Genomic DNA, 20,882 nt, shown 5'->3' with positions numbered 1-20,882 from the left:
CTCTCCAAACCTATTCTTACATTTTATATTTAGTCCATTATTCATTTTGAATTTTTTGTATAAGGTTTAGGTTGATGTTCACTTTTTGGTCTACAGATATCCATTTGTTCTAGTATCATTTATTGAAAAGGCTTACTTTCATTGAATTTTGCTTCTTTGTCAAAACCCAGCATATTGGTGTTTTGACAATTTCTGGGTGCTCTACTCTGTTTTATTGACCTATTTGTCTATGCCAATACAACACAGCCTTAGTCACTGTAGCTATAGAGTAAATCTTGAAATTGGATATACTTTAATTCTTCCCACTTTATTCATCTTTTTCAAAATACTTTAGCTATTCTAGTTCCTTGACTTTCATATGAATTTTAGAATAATCTTGTCTGTATCTATAAGAAATCTTGATAGGATTTGTATAGGAATTGTTTTAAACCTGTTAGTAGAGTGGATTACATTGCTGGGTTTTTGAATATGAAGCCAGCATTGAATCACTGGAATAAACTCTACTTGATCATGGTGTGTAATTTTTAAAATATTTGCTGAATTTTATTTCCTTCTATTTTGTTAAGAATTTTTGTGTATATTCATGATGAATATGAGTCCTTTAATTGTTTGTTTGGTATTATCCCTGTCTGGTTTTACTGGATTAGTAAAATGAACTTGGAAGTATTTCTCTTGTTCAGTATTCTAGAAGAGATTGTATAGAATTTGTGTTCATTCTTCTTTAATAATGTGGTAGTATTTACAGTGAAACCGTCTAGGTCTGGCAATTTCTTTTTCGAGAGTGTTAAAATTATCAGCTTTATTTATCTAATAATTATAAGGCTATTCAAAAATATCTGTTTCTTATTGGGTTAATTATGACAATTTATACTTTTTGAGGAATTTGTCTATTTCATTTGTTTTCATATTTGTGTATATAGAGCTGTTTTTAATATTTCCTTATTTTTTTGATGTCTGCAAATCTGTAGTGATACCCATTTCATTTCTAATATTAGTAATTTTTGTCTTCTCTCTTTTTATCCTTTGTCAGTCTTACTAGGGATTTCTCAATTGTATTAATCTTTTCAAATAATTGGGTTTTTGCTCTTATTTTTATTGCTCTTTTTCTAAGTTCTTGAAGGTGAAAACTCAAATTGTTAATTTAAACTTTTCCTCTTTTCTAATGTAAGCATTCAGTGCTATAAATTTCCCTCTTACTACTGCTTTAGCTTTGTTGCCCAAATTTTGATATGTTGTATATTAATTTTTCTTTTCTTTTTTTTTTAAGACAGAGCCTTGCTCTGTCTTCCAGGCTGGAGTGCAGTGGCGCCATCTCCGCTCACTGCAACCTCCGCCTCCCAGGTTCACGCCATTCTCCTGCCTCAGCCTCCTGAGTAGCTGGGACTACAGGCGCCTGCGACCACGCCTGGCTAATTTTTTGTATTTTTAGTAGAGATGGGGTTTCACCGTGTTAGCCAGGATGGTCTGGATCTCCTGACCTCGTGATCCACCCGCCTTGGCCTCCCAAAGTGCTGGGATTACAGGCGTGAGCCACCGCGCCCGGCCAATTCATTTTAATTTAACTGTGTTTTTTAAAATTTCCCTTGAGACTTTCTTTCTGACCCATAGATTACCTAGAAGTACATTGTTTAGTTTCCATGGGTTTGGAGATTTTCCTGTTCTTCAAGGTAGAGAGAATAGGCTTTGGTTTGGTTTGGGCCTTTTTTTTTGTTTTGTTTTTGGTCTGCATCTGTTGGTATTCTTGGATTGCTGACCTCTTTACTTCCAAGTCTGAGATATATGAAATGAAAAGAAAAGTTAGGGAACGCACCACTGCGTCAGTCCTTGGGTGCTGAGGTCCCTAGCTAGCGTGCCGCCTCCTCTTTACTTTCAGAGTCTTCCAATGCTTATTTTATATAATGCCCAGAGTTTTTAGTTGTACTTCGGGGAAAGAAAAGGGAAAATTACATCTACTCCGTTTTCTCAGAAGCAGAAGTTGGTATTTCCTTTATTTCTATATTCTTGAGGAGTACCATGCTTTTGGTCACGTATGCCTGTTATAGGCAAAATAGATGAAAGGTGTCAGGGAATAAATCTCAACACAACAATGAAATGAAAATTATTTTAATGTTACCAGCAGTTTTTCAAAGGGTGACATATAAATCTCATTGATAAATAAACTTGTTTCTCAGAGTTTGCTATCTTTTTAGAAATCCATTATAAAAGCTGAAAAACAGGCATATAAAATGGGCTGTACCAGGCTGTTAGAAAGCCAGTTATGAACCAGACGGTGTTCTAAAAACACATACGCATCCTTTTTATCATGGACATTTTTTCCCTTGTCTGCATTGAATGCTCTGAGAGTGAATGTCAATATTTATACATTCTTGAAGAGTAGAAGCAGAGACAAATTGGCAATTTTTATTTGGCCATAAATTTGCTGCCAGTGGTCAAAGATGAGGTGCAGAATTTCAGACAGTCTCTTTGTCCTGAAAGGAAAGATTTTAGTAAATCTTAGTGGTCATAGGTAGAAGAGAAATTATTGCTCTAATAGTAGCTTTGGAATTTGGAGAAATTTTCCAAACCAGGTACTTTAGAGGTGGGATGTTATATACTCTGTTCAAGAACATAAAAACCTTATACAACTGGAGCAGAGATCTATACAGAATGAGAAGCGGTCTGGAGGTGCCTGGAACTGATAGGATGAGGACCTTATCGACAGAAATTAGAAAAATTTCTGATTTAAAAAATATCTTAAATCTAGCATCTTATCAATTTTAAAAATTTTTAGTGATTTTTTATTATTATTTTATTATAGACTCTTGAATGTTCTATGTATATAATCTTATTAGCAAAAAAGATGTTTTTATGTCTTCTTAGCCATTCTTCATTTGTTACAACTTAAAAGACAATTTGAATAATAATGATGAGGAGGACATCCCTCTTTACATTTTAAAATTGTTTTAACTATTTTTTGTAAGTAATCTTTACATCATATAAAATGTTTCATTTTATTAATCTGCCCTTATTCATCCACAAATACATTTTACCGTCAAAATAGTAATACTTTCAAATTGGTAAATGTTTTCTCCCTATATCTTTATATGGATGTTATAATCAGAAGAACCATGTTTCTTTCAAGTTGTGATTATAGAATTTAGCTGTGTATCTTGTGGTTACAGTTATTGATGCAGCAATGTGTTATAGTGGAAAGATATTAGATTTGAAATTAGAAAACCTAAGTTCAAGCATTGAACCTAATATTTATTAGCTATGTGACCTTAGATTAGTCCTTTAGCTTCTCTGAGCCTCGGTTTTCCCATCTAAAAGTGGGGATAGTATTGTGTTATTGATCTCATATCTTTGTTTTCAGAAAGAAAATAGATTTTTGAAACAACTTAGTAAACTACAAAGCATTGTGTGCCATAGTTAGGGTGATTATATGTTCCAATTTTCCTTGGACATTTATGTCTGTTATCCTTGCTTGATTTCTTTTGCTTTCTAAATTTAAATTAAATTAAATTTTTTAGAGACACAGCCTTGCTGTGTCCCCAAGCTGAAGTGTAGTGGCATGATCAAAGTTCCTTGTAGCCTTAAACTCTTGTGTTCAAAAGATCCTCTCAAATTCTGGCTTAATTTGTAAGAGCACCTCTCCTAGTCTCAAAAGTGTCCTAGAGTGAATGATAAATTTTGTCATCTAAAATACAGTTATTATCTTTCTTATACATGTCATCCTGGGTAGATTGAAAACTGACTGAGGACAGGGATAGCTCTCCACCTTTGTGTTACCAACCCCACGTAGCTCAGCACCTTTCATTTAGGGCACTCTTAATCCTTGGATTAAGGAATATTTTTTAAAAATAGCTATTTAAACCTGCTATAGATAGTGTTTTCTAGTGAACATCATTATCTTGGCTGATACTAGAACTTAAATAGGTTGTGTGGAAGGAACTTGCAGCTGTATAATATGCCATGTTTTTCAGTTTGGGCAAGCAAAGTATAATTTAAGAGATGTATCTATAATAAATTGGAAAATATGCACTTAGAATCACTGAGCTGCTTAAAGACCTGATTAAAAGCCCTGTGCAATACCAAGTGAGTTTATGACCTGTGTTGACAAATAGAACTATAGAAAAGAACATTATAAGATTGGGAATTTAGAAGTGATGGTTTTATCTCAGATTATTTAGTAGGTTTTAGTAGTTTTAGAGCTCTGTTTTTATTTTTATTTTTTGTCTCTTAATCAGGAGATTAAAGTTCTGGTGAACTGCAATGAATGCTTTGCTAAGTATTTACTGGATTCCCTTTTGTAAATCTTAAAACTTCAGGCACTACTTTTTTTTTTGTCTTGGGCTGAGAAATAGTATTCTGGGTCATATTGTGAGACATTTGCTTTTGGAGAAACAACATTCAATCCGACACTTATTTTAGAGAAGATTTTGTATTTAATCATTTTCAAGAATATGAGTAATCCAGAAATCTATCTCCTAGAAACCTTGAATTTAGGGGTAGGATGAAAGAAAGTAGTTTAGTTTTTAAATGTTCATAAGAAAGGAGGAATAATGCAAAGTTGCTGCATTGTCTAAAGTAACTTGGATTTTTTTTTTTTTTTTTTTTTTTGGCAAAAAGAACTCAAGAAAAATGTGGGCTTATTTTCAGGATCATTAAATGACAATGAAGCAGTAAAACTCATGAACCTGTCCAATAATGTGGAAATGATTACTTGGTGAAAAAAATAAATGTCTAATTATTACAACATCTTAACTTGCTAAATTAAAAACAAATTAAAACATATTTTTCTATCTTCTCTTTTATATATACTTTCCTCCTGGGAAAGGCAGACAGTTGGAGGTATTTTACTTCATCTTCCTGATTTTTTTTTTTTTTTTTGGTTTTAAGAAGAGGGGAGTTTAATAGGCAAGAGGAAGGGAGAAGAGAGAAGGAAGAAGCTCCCTCGTACAGAGACAGAGGGAGGGGGCCTCCAAAGCTGGAAGAGGACGTCCCCAAGTGCAGCAGACTCCAGCCAGGTATATATGCAGAGGCTGGAGGAGGCCATGTCTGATTTGCATAGGGCTCAGGGGATTGGTTTGACCAGGCATGTCATTCACGTGGCCTGCGGAAAAAGCTGGCCTTCCCACCCTAGCCTTTTAATATGCAAATGCAGGGCACCATGATGTTCTACACACGTGGGGATATGTGGGGGCAGCCATGTCGCGAGGAACATGTGAATATTGTTTTTTTAAAGGAAATAGAGGTTTTTATTTTATTGCAAGCATGTTGCTGCTGTAGGTTTGCAAATTGAGGAGGTGACATGTATTACAGTTAGTTTTGGTTCTGCAAGAAAAAGAACTTCTGGATATCTGTTTCAGGACCAGCGTGTATATACTTAATACTACTGAACTTTAACACTTAAGGTTAAAATTGTAAATTTTATGTTATGTGTTTTTTTACCACAATAAAAAAAATTTTTTTTTACCTGGTCAATGTAGTCTATTTTCTGTAAATAAACCTTGGATTAGAGCTTACCCAGAAATCTAAAATAATGAAGCCTAGAGATTTTAACAGACGATTTTCTTATATGAATGACATTTACCTTGAAAGTCACGATAGAGAAGCACAAAGAATCAGCCATGTACATACACAAATATATAAGGTATATAAAATTAGAACTATGAGTTAGGCTAGATGAGCTCAGCATTACCATATTAATATTGTTACAGATTTGGCATTTCAGGGCTGAGATGACAACTATATTCTAAATCTTCAATTGTAGGTTTAGTTAACAAACAAAAAACACCAAAGGGAAATAGGTAATCAGGATAAATTGTTAAGGGAGCATATGCATGATACCAGTTCACCACTTTGGCCAGTAGTATTGAACACTTGCATGAAATAATTATTCTAACTTTTAACATGCACAGCAGTCAACTCATTTAAATGAACTCCTCTCTGCCCCCTCCACCTCTAGTGGGAGTGCTAATGAACAGTGAAGTGGCTGAGAAGAATCACTAACTGGCTATTAAATGATGGAACATCAGCTTTATCTTACAGTTTGATGTAAAAAGAAATGTGAGAAATGTGGATTAAATCTCAGTAATATTAACATCACATTATGCCGGATTTGGAGAGATCATTACAGAACAGTTAGTTTAAATACCCATCTGATGCCTAGCTCCTTTCTCTAAAACAAGATTAAGAAGAGTGTATTTAAAAACAATACCAGATTACAAACTGGTTGTCATGTGGGCTCTTTTGCACTGTGATATTCGATCTATTTGGTGGATATTAATTCTTTCTTTTTTTTTTTTTGAGACGGAGTTTTGCTCCGTCGCCCAGGCTGGAGTGCAGTGGCACCATCTTGGCTCACTGCAAGCTCTGCCTCCCGGGTTCACGCCATTTTCCTGCCTCAGCCTCCCAAGTAGCTGGAACTACAGGCGCCCGTCACCATGCCCCGCTAATGTTTTTGTATTATTAGTAGAGATGGGGTTTCACCATGTTAGCCAGGATGGTCTGGATCTCCTGACCTCGTGATCCACCCGCCTCGGCCTCCCAAAGTGCTGGGATTAGAGGCGTGAGCCACCACGCCCGGCCGATAGTAATTCTTAAGTGGTTAGCTCTGACCATTAGCTATTTCTTCACTAGATGATGCAAAATCTGTGTCCACTTAAATTTTTTCCCTCAGATAAGCATTCCCAGGATCTTTAAGAGTTCTTTATACAACAGGCTTTCAAGTGTTTTTTAAAAAATCTTAGCTGCTAGCCTTTAATAAACATGTTCCACAAAGTGTTTATACACAAAGTGTTTAATAAACATGTTCCACAAAGTGTTCACAATATTAGACTCAAAGTGATATCTAGTTGTTAGTTTAAGTAAGTACTTCAATTTTAGACACTTTTCTGTTTGAATTACTGTTTGAATTAGTAATGTCTGAAAAGAACGACAGCACAGAAAATGACCTGTTACTAACCAATGTTAACATGTTATTTTCAAAGATGCTTCTTGCTTTATGCCTCATTTACTTATACAAATTAGTTTCTCTACTGCCCAAATTCCAAAGTGGTAGTTTTTTTTAGTCATCTTGATTCTCTTTCTTATATTCTTGTGACAATGTATTTTTTTGTTTATAAAGTGACACATTATTAAACAAAACTTGAAAAACACAGCAGTTTGAAGGAAATATATGACCCATAATAATTATCCATAACCATTCATCATTTTGCACATTTCTATTTTTCTGAATGGGGGGTGCGTGTATGTATTTATGCATGAAATATATATAACAGAGTAGAGATTATACTATATACACATTTTGTACTTTATTTTTCTATCAAAATTACATTTTGAGCATTTCTTATTAATTGAACATTTGAAAAACCATAATGTGTAAGTTATGTGTAATATTCCATTTATTTATGAACTATTAGTGGTTCTGTTTACATTGTTTACTACTGTGTTTACATTGAATTATAAATAATCTCATAATGGACATATTTTTATACAAATGTGTATCTCTGCATTTGTAATTATTTTATTTGCAGAAATTTCTTGAAGGATTAATTGATCAAAAGATATGAACATTTCCTGAGGCTCAGAGTTACCTCTCTAAAAGGCAAGGTGACCATGTTGTTGATCATTTCAGCCAGGACATTTTTACCAGAACAAATGCTAACCTGGACAGAACTAGGATAATAGGTGCAAAGATTTAACTGATTGAAATGGGACATAGGGTCATCCTACTAAAAGAAAATAGAATTATTTTTCTTTTAAGTTAAAAGTCTTCCAATGTTTACCCCTTAGTAGGATTAAAAAATACATCTGTTAGTATGATCTATTTTAATAAAGATAGTAAAAGCATATTGTCATGATAATTCATTATCAGCACAAGAATTTATGCTTTCTTATTCATCAGAATCTGTTTATGAATGAATGTAAAGACACATGGAGTGTTAGAAATAACAAGTACAGACACACACACAAACTTAGGATATACAATGTAATCTCACTATAAAATTATAAAATCGATCTGAACATAACACATTTCAAAGCATTACTATAAAGAGGAAGCCTGAACCAAGTAACCAACCAAGAAGTAAAGATGTGGAAGAAAGAACTTTATTAGTCTTTTAAGTCTTTCCCAGATAGAATGAGAAAAGGATTTTACTCTACAATGGGATATTTTGAAGAGATAACTTTCATAATCTAAGTGAATAAATTAATGAACTTGTAATATGAGGATTTTTTAAGAGACAATATGACATTTAAGCGTGACACAACTATTTTAAGGCCGTCTTTGTCTTTAGCTTTTATTCTTTTGCCTATATATGACTTGGAACTTGTGATAAGGCATTGTGCTTGACAGGGGCAGATAGTTAGATGACAATTCGAAGACAAAAATTTAGTAGGACATTTTTAAAAACAGTAGATTTAAAAGGGGTTGCTAAGAGGGTTCTTGGCAGGCAATGATATTCTGTTTCATAGATAACAGTTTCCTTGGGTTATCTGTCTGAAAAATAAAATTGTGTTCTTTATAGAAAATATATAACTGCTAATAAACATTCTTGCTGTAATTTTAATTGTAGATTTCTTTTACTATTTAGGACATATAAAGAGATGGAAAATATAAATCATGAAGTTAGAGGTATGATAGAATGAGCACTGGACATATAAAGACAATTTTCCTTCCTTGCCAGTCCAGATGTCTTTCGTTTCATTTTCTTTGCCTATTGTACTGATTAGAACCTTCTGTACAATACTATAGAAGAGGTATTGAGAATAGACATCTTTGTGTCGTTCCTGACCCTAGGGGGAAAATTGTTCAGTCTTACACTGTTAATTTAAGTATGATACTAGCTGTAGGTTTTTCATAGGTGCTCTTTATCCAGTTCAGAAAATTCTATTCATGGCTTGCTGAAAGTTACTTTAAAATGAAGAATGAATATTGAATTTTGTCAAACTTGTTTTTCCCTAAATCTACTGAGATGATTATGTGGGTTTTCTCATTTAGTTTGTTAATATGGTGAATTACATTCATTATATTTTATTGTTAAGACAATTTGCATTATGGGATGAACTTTGTTATGATGTGTTATTCTTCTTACAGATTACCAAATTTTATTTACTAATTTTATTTTGCATCTATGTTCATAAAGGATATCGTCCATAGGTTTTGTTTTATTTTTCTTGTAATGTATCTCTGGTTTTGCCTTAATACTTGCCTCACAGAAGAAGTTGAAAAGTATTTTTGTCCTTTCCAATTTTCTGGAGAGCTGTGTAGAATTGATATTACAACTTTCTTAAAATCTTGGTAGAGTTCACCAGTGAAGCCATCTGGGCCAGGAGCTTTGTTTGTGAAAAAGCTATCCAGTCAATTTTAAAAATAAGCAGGTTATCTGTTTCTTCTTGAGTGAACTTTGGTAGTTGGTATCTTTTAGAATACCATTTTACTTAAGTTGTTGAATTTTTTTGACATAAAGTTATTGATAAAATACACTTATTTAACTTTCTGTAGAATCTGTAGCAATGCCCCCTTTTTTTATTGTGTCTTCACCCAGTTTTTCTCCATGAGTCTGGCTAGCAGTTTATCAGCTTTATTGATTTTCTAAAGAATGAGCTTTGGAGTTTATTAATATTTTCTATTTTTTTTCTTTTTTGTTGATTTCTGCTCTGCTATTTATTTACTGTGCTTACTTGAGGTTTAATTTGCTATTCTTTTTATTCTATAAATGCCAGTTATGTCAAGTTGCTTGATAGTGTTAACTCTCCTGCATTGTTGCCAATTATCTATTTTTCTATCAATTACAAAGAAATATTCAACTTTCCAACCATAATTGTAGATTTGCGTATTTCTCTTTGCAGTTTTATTAGGTTTTTACTTTATGTAGTTTCAAGCTCTGTTATTAGGTGCATAAACCTAAGCACAATAGGATTGTTATGTCCTCTTATACAATTGACCCCTTTATTATTATGAAGTTTTTTTTTATCCCTGGCAATATTCTTTGCTCGAAATATACTTTAATATTAATATAGCTACTCCATTTTTTTATTTTGATTACTGTGGCGTGGTCTACCTTTTCTATCCTTTTACTTTTAAACTTTTTTTTTTTTTAGCTATAGAGCATTGTACATTTTGGGGCTCTAGGTTTTATGTGGGTGGATCTTTGATATCATTTTGCACTTTTGAGGGACTTGGACTGTATCTTCGCTCCCCTATGTGTGCCCCATTAACATGCTGAGTCAGAATGGTAGGTAGTTTTATTTGTGAAGATGTAGAGAAGGGCTCATTTTGGATATAAAGGGTTGTTGGATTTTGTGTGGTCAATTTGAGTTAGCAATTCCTGATGGACTACCTTGGGGGCGGATATGTCCAGCAGGCAGTTGAATATATGGTTCTGGATCTCAGAACTACGTGTTCAGGAGGACTTGAATTCATGGGTATGGAAGAGTTTCCCTAATAAAACTCTTCAGAATGAGAGGACCAAGTATGAAAACCTGGCGTGCATGAATATTTAATGAGATAGAATCTGTAGTTTAGGAAAGTTCTAATGCCATAGTGATACTTATAATAATAATTTTTTATATCTATGAATTGTTAAATACAAAAACAGTGAATCCTATATAATGAAAGATTATTTGGATATTTCACTCTATGATCTGCAGAGATTTTAATATTTCTTCTAAAGTACTTGATCTAAATGTATTACCTCAGATAGCTTAAATGTCCATAAGTATATTTTTAATAAATTTAGTATGCCACAAAGAATTCAATTGTCCTGGTTAACGAGTTACATAAAGTGCCCAAAAAACTCAAGTTTGTCAGCTTTTTTGTTCATAACTCTTGGTGCCAAGTAATATGACAGCGGATTCACATATCCTAAACCTTTGATAATTATGTGATTCAGTTGCCGTGTCTCAGAGTATTTTCCCTAATGATCTTTGGTCTCTGTTTAAGTGCTCCTGTTGTTGAGTAACCTTACCCTGATTAGGGGTGGGGGAAATAGTGGGATAATCCCATTACATGAAAAATGTCACAGGCTGAATTCTGCATGCTGGAACTCTTGGCAGCAAAAGTTCAAGTTCCTAAGGGTTGTGTGTAGGCTGTTCAGAAAATTGATCCATGTAAGATTTTATTTTAACTTTAAAATGCACTTGTCCAAAAACTTTTAAAGCAATGTAATAATATTTGGCATAATGTCTCTACTTAATTTTTTATGTTAACTGTTGGTTATCTATGAAATTTATTGTACTTATCCATAATCCAATGACAGGATAGAAAATTGGATGGTTCATTATAAGTGATCTACCTAGAAAGTAAAATTTTCGAATTCTAACTCTGGTTTTATTATCAGCAGATTGTGTGATGTGGGCAAAGTTATACGCTGGCTGGTATTGCAGTTAATCCAATGTCCAAATTTCAGAAGGATTTTGAAATTATGTCTTTGCTGAAGGCATGATTACTAACAATTTAATCTAACCATCGCTTCATGTTTTTATAAAATATTTAATTTAAAGCCAAATGCAAGACTTGTGAACAGAACCTCATCTCCAGTTTAATTATTATTTTAGGAACTTTGGTGATAAAATTAGTTACATCAGGGCTGTGAGTTACGTGAGACGTGGAACTGATTATCACATTCATTTCACATGAATTTTTTTCTAGGCCCATATAACTAAAATTAGGCCAGCTATGTAAGTTAAAAATAGTAAATACTGTAAACCATAAAACAGATATTCTTAGTGTATTTATATTTATAAAAGTCCATTTTATGTTATCACTTAAAAATGTGTCTATAGTTCCTCTACAGTCGTATTTATTCTCTTTGTATTTTTCAGGAAATATTTACGCATAGGGATTGCAATTATTCAAAAATCATTTTAACTTGTCATGTTAATGATAAGAGTGATGATCAGCAAAGGTAATAAACACAGCTCAACAAACCATTTAATACAATGAAAAAGTGCAGTTACCATACTGAAACTTTTACTCACCAACATAATCAGTGAGGGAAGACCATAGGCCTTCAAACAAGATGCATCCTAGAAACTGGGGTCCAGTTCAGGAAATATTATCCTCCAATACTGATGTTAGCACCATGCATGGATGGGATTTGCTATTTAAAGCCATCTCTCGTCTAGTGTAATTTTGAAACTGCAGGAGCTGAATATGACAGCAAGAATGAACCAAATTAAAATATAATTAAATATAGTGAAATAAAAATTACATATTGTGAACATATGTTGAAACAAATACAGGTAATAATCTTTCATGAACTGTTGAAAAACCAGTTGTAGAGTAAGCATTCTCTTTGATACACAAAACTTGTGTGTATCAAGTTTTCTCAGGCAAGATGGCACCCAGCTTAATACCCTTTTATTGTAATATCTGAGCGTCACGTGTCTTCATGAAGATCTTCATGATAGTTACTTTAAGAAATAAATAAATGGCCATTTTAGTGATAGATAATTTTGGTTAATGAAAATCATTTCATTAGATTTTACCTCTTTCTATTCTCTCTTTTAAAAATTATATGAGTAATGCAAGTTGTTTTTAGAAAAATTAGAAAAGAAAAAAGATGAAATTGCATCACAATTTCATTTGTACTTTTTATAAAATATGATCCTTTTAAACATATTATTTTAAAATCTAATATTTGTTTTTGTTAGTGATATCATTAGGTAAAGATATTTCAGTTAGCCCTAAGTAAGGAAAAAATATGATTACTACTATTAGGTTTACTTTCCATTAATGTGAAAAGAGTAGCAGTAGTAACACTGAATTTAAACATCAGAAAGTTATATGCAATGATGTTTTTAACCTGAAAGCCTGAGAGCCAAATCCTGTACCTATAGGAATCCACCAAATTTTCTATTTTCGTCAACCCTCTTTTCTATACTAAGATTTATTCATAATAATTCTTCCCGTTATGGAGTAATGATTGCAAAATAGTAACAGTTGGGTCATTTGTTAGCAAGTAATAGAAATACAATAATAGAAATGTTAACAAAAGACCATACGACCTGTGGGGACAATAAAATGGGCTTTATTTTCTGATAGTAATCTCTATATTGGGTAGACCCAGCCTTTGGGACAATACAAAACTACACTCTGAGGAAGGACTGGAGAGTTAGAGATTATAAAGGCAAGAACTGAAATGCAAGGGAGGGGTATCTGGGGAGCCAGGAACAGAGCCTTGCTTGGACCACCTTTAAGCCTGAAACGACAAGTCTCTATTGGTTAATTCCAAGTGGTCAATTGGGAAATTTTTAGCAGCAGTCTATTTTGGCATCCATAGGCATCAATAACAGGAACTGGTTTAGCTTGATTGCAGAAAGGGAAGTCATAATATTTTTTTGCAACATTTTCCAAGAACACAGAGTATGTGACTGCCCCTTCATCCTACTATGGCTGCCAAGTTTTGCTTTAACTTGAGCATCTCAGTTAGCCACAGGGAGTCCATTTTGTCTGTAGATGGGGCATAATTTGACAGCAATAAGTGTTACAGCCCAGTGGGTTCTTCTTGCCTGCTGCACAGAAAAGCCAATACACAGAGACAGTGGTGTTGCAGTACAGAGAGAGTTTATTCATTGCAAGGCAGCTGAGTTGAAGAATGGGAGATATTTCTCAAATTCACCTCCCTGAGAACTCAGAGGCTAGGATTTTTAAGGATAATTTGGCGGGCAGGGGGCTAGGAAATGGGTGCTGCTAATTGGTTGGGGATGAAACCATGGATCTTGGTCAAAAAATTTCTTGGGTGCGAGTCAGTTTCTGGGTAGGGGCCACTGGACTGGTTGAATCAGTTCCTTGGTATGAGTCATGGATCTGGGTGGTTTCAGTCCGTTGCTAGAATGCAAAAGTCTGAAAAATAACTCAAAGACCAAGATAGTGATGTTATCTATAGGAGCAAATGGGGAAGTCACAAATCTTGTGACCTCTGGTTACATGACTCCTGAGAAGTAAGAAATTATAGAAAAGCAAGCTAGGATAAAATAACTGGTTATCATTTAGCTACACTAACATTTTAGCAGAATTCAGGCCCCTCCCATAATCCTAACCCTGTGGTCTTTCATTAATTTTACAAGGGCAGTTTTCAGTCCCCAACCAGAAGGGACTTAGTTTTGGGAAGGGACTATTATCATCCTTGCTTTAAAGTGAAACTATAATTTCTGTTAGCTTGACCTCCACCCAGGACAGTTAGCTTGTGAGGTTGGAAGCAAAATGGAGTCAGTTATGTTAGATTTCTCTCAGTGTCATAATTTTTGCAAAGATGATTTCATAAGCACAGAGATTCTTATCTTTTTTCTCTTCGAAATTACTTCATCTTTGATATATTTCTAATATTCTCACACATATTTTTATCTTGGCCAATGTCTGTCTCATACTTCATAATAATGCCACCTTTATTGCTCCTTGAGGTCACCTCATCTAGGTGAAGACTGTTCCAGACAGACTCTGACCTTGTTTTTTGGTTTCCCTGATCCCAGCATTAGCTAGTACATAAGATGCATTAGTGTAGCTAAATGTGTCACATTCTAAATTTTTCAAGGATAGTTCATAAAGAAATTTTTTTTGGTAATTTTTCTATGTTTAAAGTGATTTTGAACTGGTTTGATGGAAGAAACATTTTTTTCTATGTCTAGCGCTGTCAACTCTTCTCCTCTTTATCATTTTCTAGGTTAGTGGCAGACCCAAATATCACCTGAGACCCCTTTCCTGTTCTTTCCTGATTTCTGTAACATTCAGAAGCAAATGTTAAAGCAATGCTGCTATTGAGTTTGAGCTATGGTTGAAGTAGTAAAACCTTAGTAAATCATTTTTGTTCAATAACCCATACCATACCTGACCAGAGATATATAGCTTGCGACTTGTCATTTTTGTTAGGGAAATGTAGGATTTGCAGTATGTCAAGCTTTTCTATCCAGCTATGAGGTCTCTAGTACCTGTTCCTGCACTAGAGAGTTGTAGAAAGGCAGGGGAAACTTTCCCTTTGTCCTCTGAAAGTTTGCTGAAAATCAACTGACAAAAGGCAAATTAAAAGGAGAAAAGGCATTCAACATTTGTTGATGTGCACACATATGCAGGGGAGTCATACAAAATGTGAACTTAAAGAGGGGCCAGACGGTGATGCTTAAATACTCTCTTCACAAGAGAGAGATGTATGGGCCTGGGAGGCGGGAGGCAGACATTATGTGAAGGTGAGCAGGGAGCTGCACAGCGACAAAAGTTGTCTCATTATGCATACTAAGTCCCTCAGGAAATCTCTTGTAGCTGCTCTCAGAAGAATAGATGAAAAGTCTGTCCAGGCTAGTGAGGACTTGTCAGTCTCTTCTCTTATGCAGTGATTGGTCTTTCCTGGTTATTTGATGAGATCCCTAGGGAGGGGGTTTAAGACAATTGCATTTCTTTGGAAAGATGTTTTCTTGGTCAGATAAGGAAATTCCAAAGAGATTCTCTCCCAGTGCTTGGGGGTGAAATAAGACAAGGTTAGACGGACCTCGAATCTGATTCAGGTTCTAAGATCTCTCAGCATATCCAAGCACCAGTTTTTGTGGCAATTTGTTGTTGTGCCCCAACAAGGTATAAGAGCATCCTCACTGAAATCCAAATTTGCCTTGTGATTCAAGTACTTGATTCCAGCACTTTTGTTCACAAGGTAATTTGAGGATTTTTTATTTTTTATTTATTTTGTTTTTTTTAAATGCATCTTTTCTCTGGCAAATAGGGCACTTTGCTCAGCTCTAACACCAAGATCACCAAGTGTTTTCTGTTCCAACATCTTCCTCCTCATTACAGAGATTCCTGCAGATTAAAAAAAAAAGTTCCCTGTTCTTCAGGTATTGCATCTTTTTGCAGGACTTTCTCTTCATTCATTTCATAGTGAAAAGCAGCATGCCCAAAGATTAAGAGCTTGAGTTTTGGAGTCAGAGGAGTCTGGATTGAATCCTGGCTCTGCCACTGTAGCTCTTCCGCCTTGAGCAGATCACTGGCTCTCCCCAAACCCCAGTGTCTCTAGCTAAGAAATTGAAATTATCTGTACTAAATGTGGAGCAATTATTATTAAATGTAGCTTTTCAATAATATAATGTATTAAAGGGTTTAGCGTAGTAACAGTCATACTCTGGGGGCTTCACATACCAGTTTATCCTAATTTACAGCCTTTTGTGAGATTCCCTCTGATGTTCTAGTTTAGGAGAGGAGCTCCTCCACTCATTGTGCTTTTCTAAGCCTCTTTTTCTCCTCTAGAAACCTCTTTAAAGTCCCATCTTTTGCATGGATTTTTGTGTATATCCTCAATTCAACATGCAAAAAAATAATACTCTGTGATGACTGCAAATGTTTATTTCACCATATCTGGATTTGGGATCTGCTTGTCCATCTTTCCAACTAATAGTTTAGGATACAAACTAGGCTTTTTTTGTTTGTTCTTCCTGATGTCATATAAATCATGCTATACTGTACACTAGTTGGTATAATATGCTGTCCACATTATTGCTTCCTGGTGACGACCGTGATGATGATGATGAGTTCCGTACAAATACAAAGCCATAATATTTTCAGGATGAAGGCCAATATTAGATTAAATTTAATTAGATTTTAATGTGACTAATTGAATGCACGCCATAGCCTTTTGAATTTAACTTCTTGTGGAGTATGAAGTTATAGGAGCATGGAACTGGTTGTAATACATACAATTCTCAATACATATTTACATGAGGATGTGTGCACCTCATGTAAATATGTATTTAAATTTAACACGTTTATGAAGCTGCTACTAAAAATTGCTATGTGGCAACAGATTAACATCTCTGAGAACTCCTTATAAGAGTAATTAGGAAAGGTGATTCAAATAAAGTATTAAGCAATTTGTTTGTTAAATGTTATAGAGGTCTGTGGAGAACCTTATCCCCTGACTTACAATTGAATAGGCTTTTAATAAATTAATCTGAACTAGAAATTATTTTTTCAAATCCCTCATGTGGAACTCCACCCAAAATTTATTAAATAACAAAGAAATTAAATATAATTTCGCTCCTGGCATTGATTGTCTTATAGAGAGGAGAGATGAGCAGAGCCTAGGAGATCACAATGCCTTTTTAATATAGAAATACTGCAACCTTTATGTTCAATGCACATGTCTTTGTAAGTAAGGGCCTGCTCTCCTAATGTGATCTTGTTCTGTTCATTACTTTAAAACTTGCATATCCCTCTATTTTCCCTACCAATAAAGAATTTCCCCTGTCACATTTTTCAAGCTTTTAGATACAATTTTAAAGATTCACCATGCAGTTTTTCTTAATATTTTGCTTAAACTTGTTTTACTGTATCTTAACTTTATCATTTCTTATTTGGCTACCCTAATGGTTTTTTGAGGCCTGTCCTCCCTACCCGTGACAGATATAATACTGCCTCCTCAGTCATTTCTTTTTTTTTTTCATCACTGAGCATGCCTAGATCTTTTATCCTTTAATCATGAAAATTATTTTGGGAAGCTTGCACCTTTAATTATTAAATTTTTAAAAATTATGACCTCTTGTGTCTCACACATTCTTAAAGTACCCCCTTACCTAGAGATATTGTCCTAATTGATGATTAAGCCTTGTCAATGGAGATAAATTCTTCAGTTCTTTATGATAAGCTAGCAGGTTGATTTTTTTGGAGGATACTTACAGTAACACCTACATTAATTTCTAAAGACCTTAATTTTTACTTTGTGTATCATATAACTCTTTTCATAAATTTTATAAGTTAAAAAGTTTTTACTGCTCTTAATTAATGCTATACATATTTGAGAAATTAAGGTCCCAGAAAATAAATCATATCATACAAGAAGTCAGTAGCTAAATATAGTTTTGGCACATATATTTCTAAGGAACTAGCTCTTTGTACTACTAACAAAATCACTGCAATTTATTGCTATATCAATTGTTTTGCAAATAGTTTTGAACACTTGTATTAGAGACTCTTCGTAGGAACTATGAGGGATATTATAATTCAGACAGAAATATTATCCTTAAGACTCTTGTAAGTATAGTGGGGGATATAACATGTGCACACAAATAACCATACTACAAGATTTAAAAGGACAAGTATTATAAAGGATAGATAGTGTAAGTGCTGTGGGATTCTTACAGGAGAAGAAAGACTTCTGATGAGGAGGAGCAAAAGGAGAAAATTTTGTGGAGGAGGCATTCAGTATGTTCCTCTAAAGAAAATCAATATTGGAGAAAGCAGCATGAGCAAAACTAAGGAAGGAGGAAAGCACAGGGTGGTAGTAGTGTTGGGAATAGGAAATGAGTTCACCTTTGCCCAAACTTATTGAGCATCAGTAAGGACATGGGGACTTTGAGCTGGACATGTGGCTTTGGATTATTTATTATTAGATTATTTATAAACACTGGTACTTTGATAAAAAGAGATCCATAAATAGATCCACGATTAAGGGGATTTTTATGATTTTTTAAGTATTTAGTAATAAGGTTATATGTGAAGGAAAGCTAGATTTTATATCATTTATTTGGCTCTAAACACTTATTTAGTTTCACGTGCTGGCGTATGTATCAAAGGTATTGTTAGCCCAAGTAATTGGCAGAATAGTAGTGGTCCCCCCTTTATATTGTGATTTTAGAAATACCAGGAAAGTTTGTTTTACAAAATTCTCTGTCCTCTAATACCTGATATTTTCTTTGACATATTCTCTAAAAGCAAGTGATCAATGCCTTGATACATTTCCTTTGTTAAAATACAAAAGACTTTGGGCATAATATGGGAGTCCTGTGTAGGGAAAGAATATCTCTTTGAGTAGGTACTAAGAGTATTTATTTAAATATTATTTAAACTCTTTGAGTAAATACTAAGAGTAAATACTAAGAAGAGAATATCTAGGCCAAATCTGGTTTTAATATTTTTTGACTGACTTTGTAATTTTATATACTCTGTTCTGATGTATCTCAGAAAAATGTCAAATATAAGTAAATGAATATATATATAAACATGAATATAACACTGAGTTCATTGGTAGTTTTTATTTGTATATTTTAATAAAAATTAAATAAAATAATCATTATTTCTGGCCTAAAAGGCATTTTCCAGCACATGAAATCTGAAACCAGACCCTTAGTGAGTAGTTGGATTAGGGATCCTTCTCTGGAGGAAGATTGGCTGTGCTTTCTTAATGACTACCTTGATTTCTGTTAATGAGCTATTCAGATGTATAAAAGGACAATTAAGTTCACTTTCAACCTTCTGCTGTACTATTTTCATCTTGTATAAATAGTTCTTAATAAAGTCATTTTATTCTAAATTGCTTTTATTTTTTGTAATGCCAGCTTTACTTAGAAAGAAAATACTTGAAGAGCTAGCTTATGGTTAACTTATGCCACTCTTCACTTGGCTTTCTTGTTGGTATATTTCATGCTCTTCTTTGTGGTCTTTTTTCCTTATTATCTATTATTTCTTCTTCGATGTAAGACCCATTGCCTTTGTGCTGCTCTTGAATGTTTGGGCCTTCCTTGCTGTCCTTTAACTGGGCCTATTTTGTCCACCCAGTACCCTAACAAAATCTAGACTTCTCTCCCCATCATCTTCAGCCTTGCCATTTTTCCTAATATTCCTCCGTCCCTCCCTCCTTCCCTTCCCTTCCCTTCCTTCCTTCCTTCTGTCTAGAACCTAGAGGTTTATACATTTTGTTAATATTTACAAAGAACTAGTTTTGATTTTGTTCACAATCTCTGTTGTGCCATATTTTGCAGTTGTTTTCTATTCATTTTTACTCCTTTAAATTTCTTTCTTCTATTTTCTTTGAATTTAATATACTTTTTGCTTTGTATCTGTTAAAGTTGAATGCTTGTTTAAATGCTTATTTTGGTTTAATAAACATATTTAAGACAATTAACTTATTTCTTGATATTACTTTGCTTTTCATAGGTATGGTTTATTGTGTTTCTGTTTACTCCCAATTTTAAATATTTCATAATTTCCCTTGTGATCTATTCTTTTTTAAAAAAATGATATTTAATTTTTTAAGAGAAGTTTTGGCTTTACAGTAAAATTAAGAGGAAAGTATAGAGATTTCCTATATATTGCCTAAATTCACTTGTGCTGGATTTTATTTGTATTATTTGATAATCTCTATTGATAAGTGAATGTGATCTGTTTATTTCATGAGGCTATACTATAGTCTCCCCTATTATTGACATCACCCACCAGAGTGATATATTTGTTACAATTGATGACCCTATATTGACACATTATTATTGCCCAACACCCATAGTTTACATGAGGGTTCACTCTTGGTGTTATACATTCTATGGGTTTGGACAAATGTATAATGACATGTATTCACCGTTACGTGGTGTATTTCACTGCCCTAAAAATCCGCTGTGCTCTATTAATTCATCTCTCCCCTTCCCTTTACCCCTGGCAACTAGTGATCTGCTTACTGTCTGAATAGTTATGCTTTTTCCAGAATATCATATAGTTGAAATTATATAGTATGTAGCTTTTTCAGATTAGCTTCTTTCACCCAGTAGTGTGCATTTAAGTTTCTTCCATGTCTTTTCATGGCTGGATAGCTCATTTATTTTTAGCACCGAGTAATAATTCATTCTACTGAAGGATATCGTGGTTGCTTCTGTTTTAGCAATTATGAATAAAGCTACTATGAACATTCATATGCAGGCTTTTATGTGGACATGTTTTAAACTCTTTGAGGAAATACTAAGGAGTGCTATAGCTGGATTACATGGTCAAAGCATGTTTAGTTTTGTAAGGAACTGACAAATTGTCCTCCAGAGTGGCTGTATCATTTCGCATTCCCACCAGCAATGAGTGAGTTCCTGTTGCTCTGCCTCTTGTCAGCATTTGATGTGGTCAGTGTTCTAGATTTTGGCCATTCTAATAAGTGTGTAGT

General features: G+C 34.0%; 1 protein-coding gene across 18 annotated transcripts in view; it reads left to right on the top strand.

Moving 5' to 3' along the window:
- Positions 1-20,882, top strand: part of IQCM (IQ motif containing M) — a 464,135-nt gene that overhangs the window by 36,204 nt on the left and 407,049 nt on the right. Inside the window, exon 3 of one of the 18 annotated variants that reach the window (XM_017008901.3) lies at positions 11,809-11,891. The exons of the other annotated variants lie outside the window; for them this stretch is intronic. The gene's annotated coding sequence lies outside the window, so the exon portion shown is untranslated. The remainder of the gene's footprint in view (positions 1-11,808; positions 11,892-20,882) is intronic. 18 annotated transcript variants of the gene reach the window in all.

The sequence above is a fragment of the Homo sapiens genome, chromosome 4 (assembly GCF_000001405.40).
Source record: "Homo sapiens chromosome 4, GRCh38.p14 Primary Assembly".
In the NCBI taxonomy this organism is placed as follows: domain Eukaryota; kingdom Metazoa; phylum Chordata; class Mammalia; order Primates; family Hominidae; genus Homo; species Homo sapiens.
The sequence above is the reverse complement of the archived record's forward strand: the minus strand, read 5'-3'. Positions and strand labels throughout refer to the sequence as shown.